Source organism: Homo sapiens, chromosome 12 (assembly GCF_000001405.40).
Source record: "Homo sapiens chromosome 12, GRCh38.p14 Primary Assembly".
NCBI classification, from domain to species: domain Eukaryota; kingdom Metazoa; phylum Chordata; class Mammalia; order Primates; family Hominidae; genus Homo; species Homo sapiens.
The window spans coordinates 31,388,230-31,405,723 of record NC_000012.12 but is presented as its reverse complement, the minus strand read 5'-3'; the positions used below and the strand labels follow the sequence as shown (position 1 = coordinate 31,405,723).

At 42.4% G+C, this 17,494-nt stretch overlaps 1 protein-coding gene and 1 pseudogene across 23 annotated transcripts in view, besides 1 other annotated feature; one reads left to right on the top strand and one right to left on the bottom strand.

The window, feature by feature from the left end:
- Positions 1-17,494, top strand: part of DENND5B (DENN domain containing 5B) — a 208,911-nt gene that overhangs the window by 185,413 nt on the left and 6,004 nt on the right. For 20 of the 23 annotated variants that reach the window (XM_047428429.1, XM_047428424.1, XM_047428430.1 and 17 more), the window contains 6 exons: positions 3,081-3,226; positions 5,952-6,070; positions 7,362-7,549; positions 13,028-13,110; positions 13,331-13,457; positions 16,226-16,400. In XM_047428429.1, coding sequence (XP_047284385.1) covers positions 3,081-3,226; positions 5,952-6,070; positions 7,362-7,549; positions 13,028-13,110; positions 13,331-13,457; positions 16,226-16,400 — 838 coding nt within the window. The remainder of the gene's footprint in view (positions 1-3,080; positions 3,227-5,951; positions 6,071-7,361; positions 7,550-13,027; positions 13,111-13,330; positions 13,458-16,225; positions 16,401-17,494) is intronic. The other 3 variants (XM_047428421.1, XM_047428418.1, XM_047428416.1) reach the window with 1 other exon arrangement.
- Positions 474-613: an enhancer, noted in NCBI's record as "active region_6164". NCBI's record gives its function as "activates an Ori minimal core promoter by ATAC-STARR-seq in GM12878 lymphoblastoid cells {active_cell/tissue: GM12878}" and the evidence as "EXISTENCE:reporter gene assay evidence [ECO:0000049][PMID:35858748]".
- Positions 9,223-9,334, bottom strand: RNU6-618P (RNA, U6 small nuclear 618, pseudogene; annotated as a pseudogene).

Genomic DNA, 17,494 nt, shown 5'->3' with positions numbered 1-17,494 from the left:
GTACAAAAATTAGCTGGGCACGGTGGCAAGCCCCCGTAATCCCAACTACTTGGGAGGCTAAGGCAGGAGAATCACTTGAACCCGGGCGGCAGAGGTTGCAGTGAGCTGAGATTGCACCACTGCACTCCAGCCTGGGAGATAGAGTGAAACTCTGCCTCAAAAATACATACATACATACATACATACATACATACATACATACATACATACATGGCAGGTGGCTCATGCCGGTAGTCTTAACACTTTGGGAGGCCAAGGCAGGCAGATCTCTTGAGCTTAGGAGTTTGAGACCAGCCTGGGCAACATGGCAAAACCCTGCCTCTACTAAAACTACAAAAAAATAGCTGGGCGTAGTGGTGCACACCTCTGGTCCCAGCTACTGGGGAGGCCGAGGTGGGAGGATCACTTGAGCCCAGGAGGTGGAGATTGCAGTAAGCTTGAGATCGTGCCACTGCACTCTACCCTGGGTGACAGAGCGAGACCGTGTCTCAAAAAAAAAAAACTTTAAAATTTTACAATCAGGCCAGGTGCAGTGGCTCATGCCTGGAGTTCCAGCACTTTGAGAGGCCAAGGCAAAAAGATCGCTTGAGTCCAGTTCAAGACTAGCCTGGGCAAAATAGTGACATGCTGTCTCAACAAAAGAACAATTAAAAAGTTAGCTAGGGGCCGGGCACGGTGGCTCATGCCTGTAATCCCAGCACTTTGGGAGGCCGAGGTGAGCAGATCACCTGAGGTCAGGAGTTCGAGACCATCCTGGTCAACATGGTGAAACCGCATCTCTACTAAAAATACAAAAAATAGCTGGCCGTGGTGGTGTGCAGTTGTAATCCCAGCTACTCAGGAGGCTGAGGCAGGAGAATCGCTTGAGCCCGGGAGGCAGAGGTTGCAGTGAGCCGAGATCATGCCATTGCACTCCAGCCTGGGCCACAAGAGCAAAACTCTGTCTCAAAAAAAAAAAAAAAAAGCTAGAGGTCGGACGCGGTGGCTTATGCCTGGAATCCCAACACTTTGGGAGGTTGAGGCCGGTGGATCACCTGAGTTCAGGAGTTCGAGACCAGCCTGGCCAATATGTCAAAACCCCTTCTCTACTAAAAGTACAAAAATTAGCTGGGCGAGGTGGCAGACGCCTGTAATCCCAGCTACTTGGGAGGCCGAGGCTGGAGAATCACTTGAATCCAGGAGGCAGAGGTTGCAGTGAGCCAAGAATGTGCCACTACACTCCAGCCTGAGCGACAAGAGTGAAACTCTAAATAAATAAAGTTAGCCAGGTGTGGTAGCGTGCACCTGTAGTCCCAACTGCTGGGGAGGCTGAGATGGGAGGATTGCTTGAGCCCCAGAGATCAGGGCTGCAGTGAACACTGATTGGGCTGCTGCACTTCAGACTGGGCGACAGAGCTACATCCTGTCTCTAGAAAACCAACAAACAAAAAACCAGAAATGTATGGCTGTGATGGACAAAAATGCTTATGTGCTTAAACCATCTGCCCCCTTTTTGTTTTGAGATAGGGTCTCGCTGTGTTGCCCAGGCTGGAGTGCAGTGGTGGGATCAGAGTTCACTGCATCCTTGACCTCCCTGGCTCAAGGGATCCCCCCTCCTCATCCTCCTGAGTAGCTGGGACTACAAGTGTGTACCACCAGACCTGGCTAATTATGTTTTTTATTTTGTATAGAGACAAGGTCTCACTTTGTTGCCCAGGCTGGTCATGAACTCCTGAGCGCAAGTGATCTGCCCACCTCAGCCTTCCAAGGTGCTAGGTAGGATTACAGACATGAGCCCCCGTGCCTGGCCCTGTCTGCACTTTTTTTTTTTTTTTTTTTTTTTTTTTGGAGATGGAGTTTCACTCCTGTTGCCCAGGCTGGAGTGCAATGGCACAATCTCGGCTCGCTGCAACCTCTGCCTCCCGGGTTCAAGCGATTCTCCTGCCTCAGCCTCCTGAGTAGCTGGGATTACAGGTGTGTGCCACCACACCTGGCTAATTTTTGTATTTTTAGTAGAGACGGGGTTTCACCGTGTTGGTCAGCCTGGTCTCAAGCTCCTGACCTTGTGATCCACCCACCTCGGCCTCCCAAAGTGCTAGGATTACAGGCCACCACATCCAGCCGTTTTCTTTTTTCTTTCTTTTTTTTTTCTGAGGCAGAGTCTCACTCTGTTGCCCAGGCTGGAATGCAGTGGTGCAATCTCAGCTCACTGCAACCTCTGCCTCCCGGGTTCAAGTGATTCTCCTGCCTGAGCTTCCCAAGTAGCTGGGATTTCAGGCGCCTGCCACCACACCCGGCTAATTTTTGTACTGTTAGTAGAGACGGGGTTTTGCCATGTTGGCAAAAAAAAAAAAGAAAAAAAAAGAAGGGAGGACATGCATAACATCTAACCTCTCGTGCTTCCACATTTGAGCAAAGGACAGTGATAGGGCAGTGACATCTAGTGGTCTGTCTGTGGAAGAGCCTCCCTGGGCTCCTCTTGCGTGTGAGTCACCTTAATAGCTTTCAAAGTTGTGGTTTATAGACTTCACGATATGTCCAGAGTGGAGGTTCCATTGTTTATTATTTGTGGTTTTTGCATATTGTTCTGTAAACTTGGGACAGGAAAGTTCTGAAATGCAGTGCTTTAAAGCATTGCCCAAGAAACTCAATACTGTCCAAGAAGTCATCCACCCCTCTTTTTATATAAAACCATATCAGTAATCATGTTCATTTCTATTCAATTTTGTTACAAAATTAATTTTTAAGAAAATTTAAGCAATGAAAACACAATATACACAGTCAGTGTTCACATCTTTAGGTATTCTCGTGCTAATGCTTGAGATTGTTCATACGTTTAATGTTGATATATGCATCATACATACATGATGATATACATGCTGTGAAAACCACTGCTACGAGTATTGAGACTTCTGGTTTGCAAACTAGATCTCATCTTTCTAGACTGAAAGGTTATGATCTCAACTTTTCGTATAAGTACATCTTGATAGCTCATAAAAAGCAAATTATCAATGAAAACCAACAAGAGTTCTTAATATATGTTTTGTTATAAGGAGAATTTTATTCCCGCTTTTTAATTAATTTCTGCATTTTTCTTTCAGTGATTCCGTATAGGTCAGTGATCATCCCAATCAAAAAGCTGAGCAATGCAATAATCACATCAAACCCTTGGATCTGTGTATCAGGAGAGCTGGGAGACACAGGAGTAATGCAGATTCCCAAAAACCTCCTCGAAATGACCTTTGAGGTAGGTTCAGCTAATACCTTTCCTAGAAGAATGTATCACGTGTAGTTTTACAGATGATTCTGTCTGGCTTTTTCATTTTTCCTTGAATCAAATAAAATAGAGGAACACTCAAAGCGTGCAGGATCATTTTTGTGATTATATGTCTAAAGTTGTCTTAAGCAGCTTATATACTAATTTGTTTTGCATTTTCATTGTTAAGCTCTATTTTTCACTTGTAATGATGTGCTTTGGGGCTTTCTAGGTCTTCTCCTACTATTTTCAGGGTCTAGCACAGATTCTAGCAAGCAGGAAATATTCAAATAAATGTTTTCCCCGCGGTGGTTCTCCTCCCTACTGTAAAATGTTTTCTGCCCAAACCTGGTCATCCTTTGGCAAAAGGACAGGAGAGCTGATATTCATGCTTATGGATTTTTTTTTTTTTTTTTTTGAGACGGAATCTTGCTCTTTCGCCCAGGCTGTGCAGTGGTGTGATCTTCACTCGTTGCAACCTCCACCTCCTGGGTTCAAGCATCTGCTTACTGGTTTTAGACCACATGGTGACATTTATAGAATGATTCTATAAAAATGCCTTTTGGCCAGGCGCAGTGACTCATGCCTATAATCTCAACACTTTGGGAGACCAAGGTGAGCAGATTGCTTGAGCCCAGGAGTTTGAGACGACCAGCCTGGGCAACATGGTGAGACTCCATCTCTACAAAAAATACAAAAATTAGCTGGGCATGGTGGCATGCACCTGTAGTCTGGGTACTTGCAAGGCTGAGGTCACTTGAGCCCAGGAGACAGAGGTTGCAGTGAGCCAGGATTGTGCCACTGCACTCCAGCCTGGGTGACAGAGTGAGACTGTGTCTCAAAAAACAAAACAAAACAAACAGCCACCTTTTAATATTGTAGTCAATTTTCAGTCTTACTTGGTGAAATAGTTCCATGGGGTTAAGCCTGTACACAGGTTGATCTTGGTGGAGGAAGAGGACAAATAATTGTTGTGTTTGAGGAAGGAAATGGTACGAACTGAATGTCCCATTCTCATGTTCCTTGGGGTCTCGAAATAGCAGTTTCCACTTAGAGTCATGATGCCCTCCCGCCCCCAGGAGCCCAGTTTGGCCTTATCCATGCAGTAGACTCAAAGCCACCTGTATATAAAATATTAAAACCCTTGGCTTTTCTTCATCTAACAATAATGAAAGTACATTAAAACCCCCATCATTGCCATTTCTAAGCTGTCTCTCTCATGTCTACCTACTTCTTTCCATCTCTGCTGCACAACTAATTCAAGATGCCATCATCCCTAAGTTAGAGCATGGTGATGCCTTCTCACTGAGATACAAAGAATAAAGTGCTTTAAGAACTCGTAGCTCTGGCCGGGCCAGTGGCTCACGCCTGTAATCCCAGCACTTTGGGAGGCCGAGGCAGGCGGATCACCTGAGGTCGGGAGTCTGAGGCCAGCCTGACCAAAATGAAGAAACCCCCTCTCTACTAAAAACACAAAAATTAGCCGGGCATGGTGGCACATGCCTGTAATCCCAGCTTCTCGGGAGGCTGAGGCAGGAGAATCGCTTGAATCCGGGAGGCGGAGGTTGTGGTGAGCGGAGATTGCACCATTGCACTCCAGCCTGGGCAACGAGAGCGAAACTCTGTCTAAAAAAAAAACAAAAAAAAAAAACTCGTAGCTCTAATGGGTACAAAAAAATAGAGTGAATAAGACCTAGTATTTGCTAGCACAGCAGGGTGACTATAGTCAACAATAATTTAACTGTACATTTTAAAATAACTAAAAGTATAATTGGATTGTCACACAAATGATAAATGTTTGAGGTGACAGACACCCCATTTACCCTGATACAGTTATTAGGCATTGCATGCCTATATCAAAATATCTCAATTAATCCATAAATATACACATCTACTAGGTACCCATAAAAATTAAAAATTAAAATTAACCAAAAAAAAGAACTTACAATTCTGATGTTGTCATCCAGCACATTGTTGGGGTCAGTGATCTTTTCATTATCAGATTTTAGAAGTCAGAATTTAATTAGTATTCATTTTTGCTATTCCTATTATCATTGCTTTATTTTGTACTTGTCCACAAAGGACCAGTGAAGATAACTTATTGATAACTATGCCTTTTAAAAAATAGCTTCAAAGACTTCTAGTATATGAGGTCTGAGGTCAGTTCTGCCTTAGTATCTTATTGGAACAGAAAAATATCAACATCTCATGTACCCTATAAATATATATACCTACTGTGTACCCACAAAAAATTTTCTAAAAAAGAAAAGAATATCAGTGTCAGTGATTTTTAAAATCTATAATTGTTTTCTTGACCTCTTTGTAACAAAATCTAAATAGCATCTTTTTCCTGTTTTTAGAAATTATTCTTACCCTTCAAGGCACAAGTCACTGTCTGTGTTGTTTGTGGGTTCCCCAAGTAGAAGTAACTGTTCCTTCCCCAGCGTTCTTCTAGCACTTTTTACATCTCTAATCTAGCACTGTGTGCAGTGCCCCTCATTTGGTAGTTAATGTCCATATGTCTCCTATCTCATTATGTGGGAGCTCCCTGAGAGCAAGGAATATATGTGAATATATTTCTCTAGTGCATAGCTGAATACATTATGCAGGGTTTGTCTCTGCAGTTGTTAAATTAGACGGAACCAAAGTACCTGTAAAGCTGAGATGTAACAGGATGGGATTGGGTACTAAATAACCTAAGGTCCTGTCCCTACAGTGCCAGAACTTGGGGAAGCTGACCACTGTTCAGATTGGTCACGATAACTCAGGACTGTTAGCCAAATGGCTAGTGGATTGTGTCATGGTCAGAAATGAAATCACAGGACATACATACAGGTAAGTAAATGGCCTTGGGAACTCAGAATTCTTTGTTTTAAGACTCTTCAGGTAAGAAAAGGTTTAAGAATTGTAGGCCAGGCACAGTGGCTCACACCTATAATCCCAGCACTTTGAGAGGCCAAGGCGGGTGGATCACCTGAGGTCAGGAGTTTGAGACCAGCCTGACCAACATGGTGAAACCCCATCTCTACTAAATAAAAAAAAATTAGCAGGGCATGGTGGTGTACGCTTGTAATCCCAGCTACTTGGGAGGCTGAGGCAGGAGAATCGCTTGAACCCGGGAGGGGGAGATTTCAGTGAACCGAGATTGCACCGTTGCACTCCAGCCTGGGCAACAAGGTGAAACTCCATCTCAAAAAAAAAAAAAAAAAAAAAGAATTGTTTGAACTCTTCCACTGCCTTCTGAATTTTAGGGTTTTTTTTTCCAGGTGAGGGGGGCAATTTTTTTTTTGTTTATGTCATACAAAATTGCCCCCCAAAAAACTTTTTTTTTTCTTTCTCTCTCTTTTTTTTTTTTTTTTTTGGGCTGAGACAGAGTTTCACTCTTGTTGCCCAGGCTGGAGTGCAATGGCGCAATCTCGGCTCACTGCAACCTCTGCCTCCCAGGTTCAAGCAGTTCTCGTGCTTCAGCCTCCCGAGTAGCTGGGATTACAGGTACCTGCCACCACGCCCGGCTAATTTCTGTATTTTTAGTAGAGATGGGGTTTTGCTATGTTGGCCAGGCTGGTCTCAAACTCCTAACCTCAAGTGTTCCACCCACCTTGGCCTCCCAAAGTGCTGGGATTACAGGCATGAGCCACCATGCCCAGCCTCAAAAAACTTTTTAAAACAACAGATGTTTGCTGCTATTGCTTAGTCCACAAGTGTTGGAAAGATTAATATAACTCTCAGAAAAAAAAGAAAATAAAAAAGAAGCCTAAAATAATTTCAGTGGGAGGAAAAGATCTCTTGGATTCCACTAGTCACAGCCAACACTACTCTATGGAAACATTGTCCTCTTTTCTTCTGTGCCTGAACTCCCAAATTAATTTCTAGTTTGAAAATATTCTGACCGGGTGCAGTGGCTCACACCTGTAATCCACACACTTTGAGAGACTGAGATGGGGGGATCACTTGAGGCCAAGAGTTCAAGACCAGCCTGGGCAATGTAATGAGACCTCTCTATAAAAAACACAAAAATTAGCCAGGTGTGGTGGTGCACACCTGTAGTCTCAACTACTCAGGGGGCTGAGCGGGAACCCTGTCTCAAAAAAATAAAAAATAAAAAACTTGTTTTCTGTCCTACCAGATTCCCATGTGGGCGGTGGCTGGGGAAAGGCATTGATGATGGGAGCCTGGAGAGAATTCTTATTGGAGAGTTGATGACATCAGCATCAGATGAAGATCTAGTAAAGCAGTGTCGGACTCCACCCCAGCAGAAGTCACCCACCACGGCTAGGAGATTGAGCATCACTTCACTGACAGGAAAAAACAACAGTAAATTTATTTAAATTTTTCTTATGTGCTCCTATGATGTAGGCTTCATGTGACCATTTGATAGAAAACAGTTGTGTTAATGAATGTAGTGAGGAGATTTTAAAAAGAAGAAAGTTGAGGAAAATTCATAAATATTCAAAAGCCGGAAGAGTTTAGATGTTAAAATCTAATTTTTTAAAAAACTTGCATGCTCTGTTTTTATTAAGCTGTGGAAATATGAGTAAATATTTTACCTGAAACTTTTATTTTTTGAGACAAGGTTTCACTCTGTTACCCAGGCTAGAATGCAGTGGCACAGTCTCAGCTCACTGCAGCCTCTGCTTCCCGGGTTCAAATGATCCTCCCACCTCAGCTTTCCAAGTAGCTGGGACTACAGGCACACAACATCACACCTGGCTAATTTTTGTATTTTTTATAGACTGCCTTTCGCCATGTTGCCCAGGCTGGTCTTGAACTTCTGAGCTCAAGCGATCTGCCTGCCTCAGCCTCCCAAAGTGCTGGCATTACAGGCGTGTGCCACCAGACCTGGCCTTGCCTGAAACTTAAAAGAGAAATAATAATAGTTATATATTACAGTACTCCCAGATAGCCATATCTAGCCTTTTTTTTTTTTTTTTTTTTTTTTGTGAGATGGAATCTCACTCTGTCACCCAGGCTGGAGTGCAGTGGTGCGATCTCAGCTCACTGCAACCCCCGCCTCCCGGGTTCAAACGATTCTCCTGCCTCAGCCTCCCAAGTAGCTGGGATTACAGGTGCCCGCCACCACATCTGGCTAATTTTTTATATTTTTGGTAGAGACAAGGTTTCCCCATGTTGGCCAGGCTGGTCTCAATCTCTTGACCTTGAGATCCACCCGCCTTAGCTTCTGAAAGTGCTGGGATTAGAGGCATGAGCCACCACGCCCGCCCCAGTGTCTCTTATTCTAAGAGATTAAAATTTCCTTCTACCCCTTCTGTCCCAACTTTCTTCCTATAGTAAGGATGAAACAAAATACTATAAAGGAGTGAATTTTATGAATATTATACTATGTTCATGTGTCATTTTTAGTAATATAGTAAACTTCTAATTTATACTAATGTAGGCTTTAATAGACTAAATTACTAATGTAGGCTTTAATAGACTAAATAATGTCTCCCAAAAATATAAAATTCTAACCTCTAGAATCTGTAAATATTGCCTTATTTGGAAAAAGGATTTTTGCAGATGTGATAGGGATCTTGAAATAGGAGATTGTCCTGGATCACATCTACGTGGACCCTAAATGCCATCATATGTATTCTTTCCCAACACTTTGGGAGGCCGAAGTGGGCAGATCACTTGAGATCAGGAGTTTGAGGCCAACCTGGCCAACATAGCAAAACCCCGTCTCTACTAAAAAAACAAAAATTAACCAGGCATGTGGTGCATGCCTGTAATCCCAGCTCCTCAGGAGGCTGAGGCATGAGGATTGCTTGAACCCAGGAGGTAGAGGTGAGGTTGCAGTGAGCCGAGCTCATGCCACTGTATTCCAGCTTGAGTGACAGAGTGACACTCTGTCTTTTTTGGGGGGGTTTTTGGTGCCAATTTTAAATAGTTTTATTTAAAACATTGCATTTTCCACTTACAATACAGTGTTTATAAAGTGCAATGTTATTTCCTTCCCCTGTGCATATGTTCCACATTCAAGTATTGAGAAAAATATGGAATGCTTCACCAATTTGCTTGCCATCCTCGTGCAGGGGCCATGCTAATAATCTTCTCTGTATTGTTCCAGTTTTTTAGTATATGTGCTGCCGAAACAAGCATGACTCTGTCTTTAAAAAAAAAAAAAAAAACAACAACAACAACAACAAATGCTGGCCAGGCATTATGCTGAGGTGGGTGGATCACCTGAGGTCAGGAGTTCAAGACCAGCCTGACCAACATGGCGAAACCCCGTCTCTACTAAAAATACAAAAATTAGCTGGGCATGGTAGTGTGCACCTGTAATCCTAGCTACTTGGGAGGCTGAGACAGGAGAATTGCTTGAACCTGAGAGGTGGAGGTTGCAGTAAGCCAATATCGTGCCACTGCACTACATGCACTACAGCCTGGGCAACAGAGTGAGACTCCGTCTCAAAAAAAAAAAAAAAAAAAAAACAAGGAATGCCAACAGCCACCAGAAGCTAAAAGAGGCAAGGAAGGGATTTTCCCCTAGAATTTCAAGGGAATACAGCCCTGCTGACACCTTGCTTTTTTTTTTTTTTTTTTTTTGGCCCAGTGATAACTAAATTTTGACTTCTGGCCTGCAACAAAATGTATTTCTGTCACTCAAGCCACCAAGTTTTGTGAGTCTATTACAGCAGCCACAGAAGGCAGCCACAGAACATGAATATAGAGGCGGTATTTAGGGAAAAATCACAGAAGTTTATCAGTGAAGGGGCTTTTTATCTATAGATTATAACCACAAGTAGAATAACAAAGGTACCTAATAGGTCCTTAGTTTATTAACAAAGCAGTTTCCCTAGATTCTTCTATTAGTCTCTATCCATTTGCTAGCACATGATTGTGTATTAACTATGAGTGCAGTTTTTTTGTTTTTTTGTTTTGTTTTGTTTTGTTTTGACTGAGTTTTCGCTCTTGTTGGCCATGCTGGAGTGCAGTGGTGCGGTCTCATCTCACTGCAACCTCCGCTTCCCAGGTTCAAGCGATTCTCCTGCCTCAGCCTCCCAAATAGCTGGGATTACGGGCATGCACTGCCACGTGAGGCTAATTTTGTATTTTGGGTAGAGACGGGGTTTCACCATGTTGGCCAGGCTGGTGTTGAACTCCTGACCTCAGGTGATCCTCCCACCTTGACCTCCCAGAGTGCTGGGATTGCAGGCGTGAGCCACTGTGCCCAACCAATTTAAAGCACTTATAGCAACAAATATTGGTGAGGATGTGGAGTAACAGAAAGCTCATGCATTGCTAGTAGGAATACAAAATAACATCTTGGCATTTATAAAGATACATGCACACTTACCGTACGCTTGGCCCAGCAATCTTACTCCTAGATATGTACACAAAAGAAATGAATACATATATCTACACAGACTTGTACCCAGATATTTTGAGAGATTTATTCATAATAGCCAAAAATGGAAACAACCCCAATATACATCAACTGGTGAAAGGATAAACAGATAGTGATATATATCTGTTTATATATCAGATCTCTATAAAAGCAATATAATAATAGAAAGTAGATCATTGGTTGCCAGGAGTTAGGAGCTAAGGAAGGTAACTGAAAAGAGCACAGGATAGGCCGGGCACGGTGGCTCACGCCTGTAATACAGCACTTTGGGAGGCCAAGACGGGCGGATCACAAGGTCAGCAGATCGAGACCATCCTGGCTAACATGGTGAAACCCCGTCTCTACTAAAAATACAAAAAATTAGCCGGGCATGGTGGCAGGTGTCAATAGTCCCAGCTACTCGGGAGGCTGAGGCAGGAGAATGGCGTGAACCCGGGAGGCGGAACTTGCAGTGACCTGAGATCGCTCCACTGCACTCCAGCCTGGGTGACAGAGCGAGACTCCGTCTCAAAAAAAAAAAAAAAAGAGCACAGGGTAACTTTTGGGGATGATGGAAATGTTCTGTATCATGATTGTGGTGGTGGTTACATGACTATCCATTTGTCAAAGCTCATCAAAATTGGTGACTTTTATTACATGGTGAATTTTAATTATGCTGATTTAAAATTTAAAAGTAGGTTTCAGCTCAATCCATCCTAATTATTATAACATCTGAGTCAGTCCAATTTCATGGGGGTATTATCTGAGAGGCTTTTATCCCCCATTTTTTTTTAATCGTACTTTCTTTTCTCATGCTATAAGCAGAAAAGTCTAAATGACCCAAGACTCAGAAATGGATAACGGTATTTTCTCACAGTATGTTATATGTAAAATGGTATTCAGAGAACTGAAAATTTTTAAAATCAGTTTTATAATAATACTGATCAAAGCTCTTTTGGAATGGGTGACAGTTTTCAAAATAGACTTCATGTCTAAAAGAAAAAATAGAGAAAGGTAAAGGTAAAAAAAACAAACAAAAACTACTGGGTAAAGAAACCACTAGGAACAAGAGGCCATGGTATCAGTACTTCAATTATAAGAGGTTTTCATTTTAACAATTTTTATGCATTAGTGTAGAAAAAACCTACTTGAATTTTACTGAAAGAAACGTTAGCCGGGCATGGTGGCTTACGCCTGTAATCCCAGCACTTTGGGAGGCTGAGGTGGGCGGATCACCTGAGGTCAGGAGTTCGAGACCAGCGTGACCAATATGGTAAAACCCTATTTCTACTAAAAATACAAAAAAATTAGCCATGCATGGTGGCCGGCACCTGTAGTCCCAGCTACACGGGAGGCTGAGGCAGGAGAATTGCTTGAACCTGGGAGGCGGAGGGTGCAGTGAGCCGACATTGCACCACTGCACTCCAGCCTAGGAGACAGAGCGAGACTCCATCTCAAAAAAGAAAAAAGAAATGTTCATGCAAGAAATCCTTGAGCAGTATGAATTCAGAGATTCTTAAACATGAGGATGTATGGGTTTTCCTTTATAGTGTGTTAAGTAAATTAGAACTACAAGAAAATCTGAACTATATACCTTTTCTGTTGTTACCTACTTCTGAAATGTTTACCACCTTTTTAAAAAAACAAACCATTCCTTGGGTTTGGTGGACAAAAGTGATTTAGGTCGCATTCAAGCAGCCCACCAACCTGTCCCTCAGGAAAGTGGCCTAGAAGAGCAAGTACTGGCTGGCAGAAGGAAGCAGTGCTGAGACAGATTGACTAGCCAGGAAGGGAGGGAGTTCTGGGCTTCAGGCCCAGATGCCACAGGGTACCTGGCATCTTCCCCTTATTTTAAACACAACAGCAAATCTTCAAACTCCAGGTTAACTATCCAGAGCGCCTGAAGCCTTAATCTATGCCCACTGACAGGCTTGTAGGTAGGTAGCATAAGGGAACATTCCACTAACAGGCTCGTAGGTAGATAGCATAAGGGAACATTTCACTAACAGGCTCGTAGGTGGGTAGCATAAGGGAACATTTGAGGAGTGATGTTGGGACTTCTCAACCTTGCTTCTCATATTTGGGGGCTTGCTAGCATTTTGTGACAGGCGCCATGCTAGTTATTTACTCCTATAACTTACCAGTTTTCCCAGTGAGGCGTGTATTTTTCCTATTTTCAGTTGAGGAAACTGAAAGCTCAGAGGAAGTTAGACACTAGGCTAGGGTTATAGATTGCAGATGGTAATGCTGGGATTTGAATCTAGGGATCGCTTGGATTATTTTCCATTTTGCCAGGATGCTTCCCACTTGGCCAAACAGGCCAGAGGCAAGTTCTATGGAGCCCCTGGCAAAGCCAGCCTGCTCTGATGACGTATTTCCTGCCTAGGTGGACACAGTTGATGTCCCATAGTACTTTGGTTTATTTCTCTCCCATGAGAATGCAGCCACTGTTTATTATTTTACAGAACCCAATGCTGGGCAGATACAAGAAGGAATTGGAGAAGCTGTGAACAATATTGTGAAACATTTTCATAAACCTGAAAAAGAGGTATTTATGGGCTATAAAACTTAGTATAGTGGGACTTTTAAAGATGCTTTTATATGTGATACACGAGGCAATATGGGGTGCTTGAATTTTCATTTGTAAGCTTTCTGGTAGCTGTAAAAACATGCTTCATATAGCTACCTTCAGCACTTGCTTCTCTAGTGTTTTTTTTAGACATAGATGCAGGAGATTTTTCTTTGGCACTGTGTGTTATGCCCCACAGAGAGGAAGCCTCACCGTGTTGCTGTGTGGAGAAAATGGCCTGGTTGCAGCCCTTGAGCAAGTTTTCCACCATGGGTTCAAATCTGCCCGCATCTTTCACAAGAATGTCTTCATCTGGGACTTCATAGGTAAATAAAGTAGATGTGTATTACATTAAGGTCACTGAAGCCTTTCTTAGGAACTCAAAGACCCAGGAATCTGAGTGAATAAGGGTTAGTGATAAGGATATATATATTTTTTTTCTTTTTTTTTTTTTGAGACGGAATCTTACTCTGTTGCCCAAGCTGGAGTGCAGTGGTGCGGTCTTGGCTCACTGTAACCTCCGCCTCCCAGGTTCAAATGATTCTCCTGCCTCAGCCTCCCAAGCAGCTGGGACTACAGGTGTGCACCACCATGCCCAACTAATTTTTGTATTTTTAATAGAGAAGGGGTTTCACCATATTGGCCAGGCTGGTCTTGAACTCCTGACCTTGTGATCCACCCGCCTCAGCCTCCCAAAGTGCTGGGATTACAGGAGTGAGCCATCGTGCCCGGCAAGGATATATATATTTTAAAATAAATATTAAATTAGCTGGGTGTGGTAGCACATACCTGTGGTCCCAGCTACCTGGGAGGCTGAGGCAAGAGAATCGCTTGAGCCCAGGAGCCTAGGAGGTGAAGGCTGCAGTCAGCCATGATCAAGCTACTGCACTCCAGCCTGGGCGACAGAGTGAGACCGTGTCTCAAAAAGTGTATATAATAATGATAAATAAATATCAAGTATTGTCTTTGTTTTTCATTTACTCAACAAATTGTAATATGCACAATATTCCAAATAGTATTTGAGTTGCTCAAGATATACATTAGTAAACAAAACAGAAATCCTATGGTTGACAAACTTATACTCAGGTCGGTGTGGGAAACAAACAATACACAAAAACATAACAAATATGTAATTCATATGGTATGTCAGAAATGTGACCATTGATCTGGAAAGAAATAGAGCAGTATAAAAGGAAATAAAGTGGGGAGTGGTCTTTCAAATGGGGTGGTTTTAGATTCTGCTGAATGTCAAGGTACATTGGAGCACAGACTTCATGTAGGTGAGGAAGTGAGCCATGTAGATATCTGGGAGGAGGGACTCCAGGTTGACAGCACTGCCAGTGCTAAGCCCCAAGGCGGAAGTGTTTCCATGGAACTCCAAGCCCAGTGTGACTGGAGCACAGCAAGAGAGAGAAAGTAGGAGATTGGGGGAGGGGGTGTTTAGTGCCAGTGCCAGGTTGTGTAGGGCCTTCTAGGTCATTGGAATGATTTCAGCCTTTATCCTGAATGAAACTGGAAGCTGTTGGAAGGTTTTGAGCTAAGTAGTGACATGATAGAACGTTTTTGTTTGTTTGTTTGAGACAGAGACTCACTCTACTGCCCAGGCTGGAGTGCAGTGGCCCCATCTCAGCTCACTGCAACCTCTGCCTCCTGGGTTCAAGCGGTTCTCCTGCCCCAGCCACTGATTAGCTGGGATTACACCTGCCACCACACCCCTAATTTTTGTATTTTTAGTAGAGATGGGGTTTTGCCATGTTGGCCACGCTGGTCCCAAATTCCGTCCTCAAGTGATCCACTTGCCTTGGCCTCCCAAGGTGCTGGGATTACAGGTGTGAGCCACTGTGCCTGGCCAATTTTTGTAAAAGGATTCCTCTAGCTCTGTGTTGTCCAGTATAGTAACCATTAGCCACATATAGCCATTTAAAATTTAAATCTATTTAATTTTTTTTGTTTGTTTTAGATGGAGTCTCGCTCTGTTGCCCAGGCTGGAGTACAATGGTGTGATCTTGGGTCACCGCAGCCTCTGCCTCCTGGGTTCAAGCAATTCTCCTGCCTCAGCCTGAGTAGCTGGGATTACAGGTGCCTGCCACCACGCCCAGCTAATTTTTGTATTTTTAGTAGAGATGGGGTTTCACCATGCTGGCTAGGCTGGTCTCGAACTCCCGAACTCAGGTGATCTGCCCGCCTTGGCCTCCCAAAGTGCTGGGATTACAGGCGTGAGCCACCATGCCTGGCCAAATCTATTTAATTTAAATCAAATGTAAATGTAAATTTCATTTTCTTAATAACACTGGCCACATTTCAAGTGCTCAGGAGCCACTTGTGGCTACCAAATTGGACCTTGTAGATAGAGAACATTTTCATCATCACAGGAAGCTCTTTTGGAGTGTTTCTGTTCTAGCTTGCTAAGCTTTGTGATCTTTCTTTTGGTATGCAGCTCTTCTAGAATTCCTAGTTTCTTTAAATGGGCAATTAATCATTTTGTGTTTTCTAAATAAGGCCTAGATGAAGTAGTTTATTTCATCTAACTTAGAATAGACAAAAAAAGGAAAGTTGTCAGAGATAGGCCCCCAGGAGTGATTTTTTTTTTTTCTTCTGGAATGCCTAGAATCTTATTGCTTCTGCTTCTCATGTGTATATACATATATCTCTCTTTGTCAGGTACTTATTCAGGTACATTTCAAGGATCTTGTTGCAAAGTGTTAGCAAGTCATTCTGTAACTAGAACATGGGGTATTATTTCAATGGCTACCGTGTCATTGCTGGTTACTCCTAGAAGGTTCCAGTCTTAACAGAAGATGCTATTTTTGTTTTCTTTTTTGCCAGTTTCTGTTTCCTGAAGGTATTTTAAAGGGAGTAAACTTTCCAGTCTTCTGGAATGCAGTCTAAATTAGAAAATAAATTCCTGGGAGCATATTTATTGTTCTACCATGAAACATCGACCCCTAAAATCAATGATAAAGTAATGATATTGGCTTCAGGACTGACTGTATGCAAAGCATCGTTAGTGTTTCCATAATAAATTAAGTGATGAATCTTTCTATATATGAAGTGTTGACACATATTGTGACATAATTCTGACTTTTTTCCTCAGAGAAAGTGGTTGCTTATTTTGAAACAACTGACCAGATTCTAGATAATGAAGATGATGTCCTTATTCAGAAATCATCCTGCAAAACCTTCTGCCACTACGTAAATGCTATTAATACTGCACCCAGGAACATTGGGAAGGATGGCAAATTCCAGATTTTAGTTTGCCTTGGAACAAGGTACAAAACCAGTTTTTTATTTTCCCTATCTTTGTCACATGTTGAACTAGAGTCCAGAAAAGGTTATACCAGATCATACCCCTTCCAGAGCTCTCCTTTGGGTTTCTTTCCTTTTACTTTTTCTTTTGAAACAGAGTCTCACTCCATCGCCTAGGCTGGAGTACCGTGGCATAATCTTGGCTCACTGCAACCTCTGCCTCCTCCCTTGGGTTTCTTTAATTCACCACCACCACTACATGAGGTAGCAACCGATTTTTTCATTTTAAAGATGAGAAAGTAGAAAATAGATGAGGCACACGTAAGTTAGCAGACTTTCCCAAGATCACACAGAAAAATGAGACAGAGCCAGGTTCACACCCTGTCCCACTTCAGAGCCCAAGCTCTCCACCATGACTGTATACTGGCTCGACAGATAGATAGGTAATAAGGAAGTTGTTAGATAACTAGACACATACACTGTACATATTTACTAAGTAAACCTTATATAGTGTATATATACCACTATATTTACATTTAATAACATTATGGGATTCTTGCTATATAAATATCATCTTCTCTTTAAGACTATTTCCTACCCCTTTATTTTTTGAAAGTGGCACATAGGAGCGATACAATCCATTACTTTTAAAACAGATCTCAGAATTGTAAGAAATGAAACATACAGACCTTTAGATTTCTTTTTTTAAGTTACCCATGTAGTATTTGTTTTTTCCTGAACCTTAAGAGCCCCAACTTGAGACTGAAGATGGCCTGATTGGGGATGCTCAATAAGGATGTCTTAGGAACTTAGCAATGGGTTACTAATGTCAGGTTTGATCAGGAAACATTGAAGATGTGAGGTTTTATCTTCCTGAAACAGCTGGTTTACAGAACTAAGTTCTGTATTTCTTCTTCATAAAAGGAGCCCAGTTTTAGCTGTGCTTTTAAAGTTTCTTTTGAGCATGATCTTTATCTCCTTTTATCTCTATACTCTTCTGATTTATTAGACCATTGCAAACTCTCATCTGGTTTATAAAATCTACTTAATGTTTTTCTGCTTTGATTTTGTTCCTCACCCTGTTATGTTATATAAGTTAAAAAAAAAAAAAAAAAAA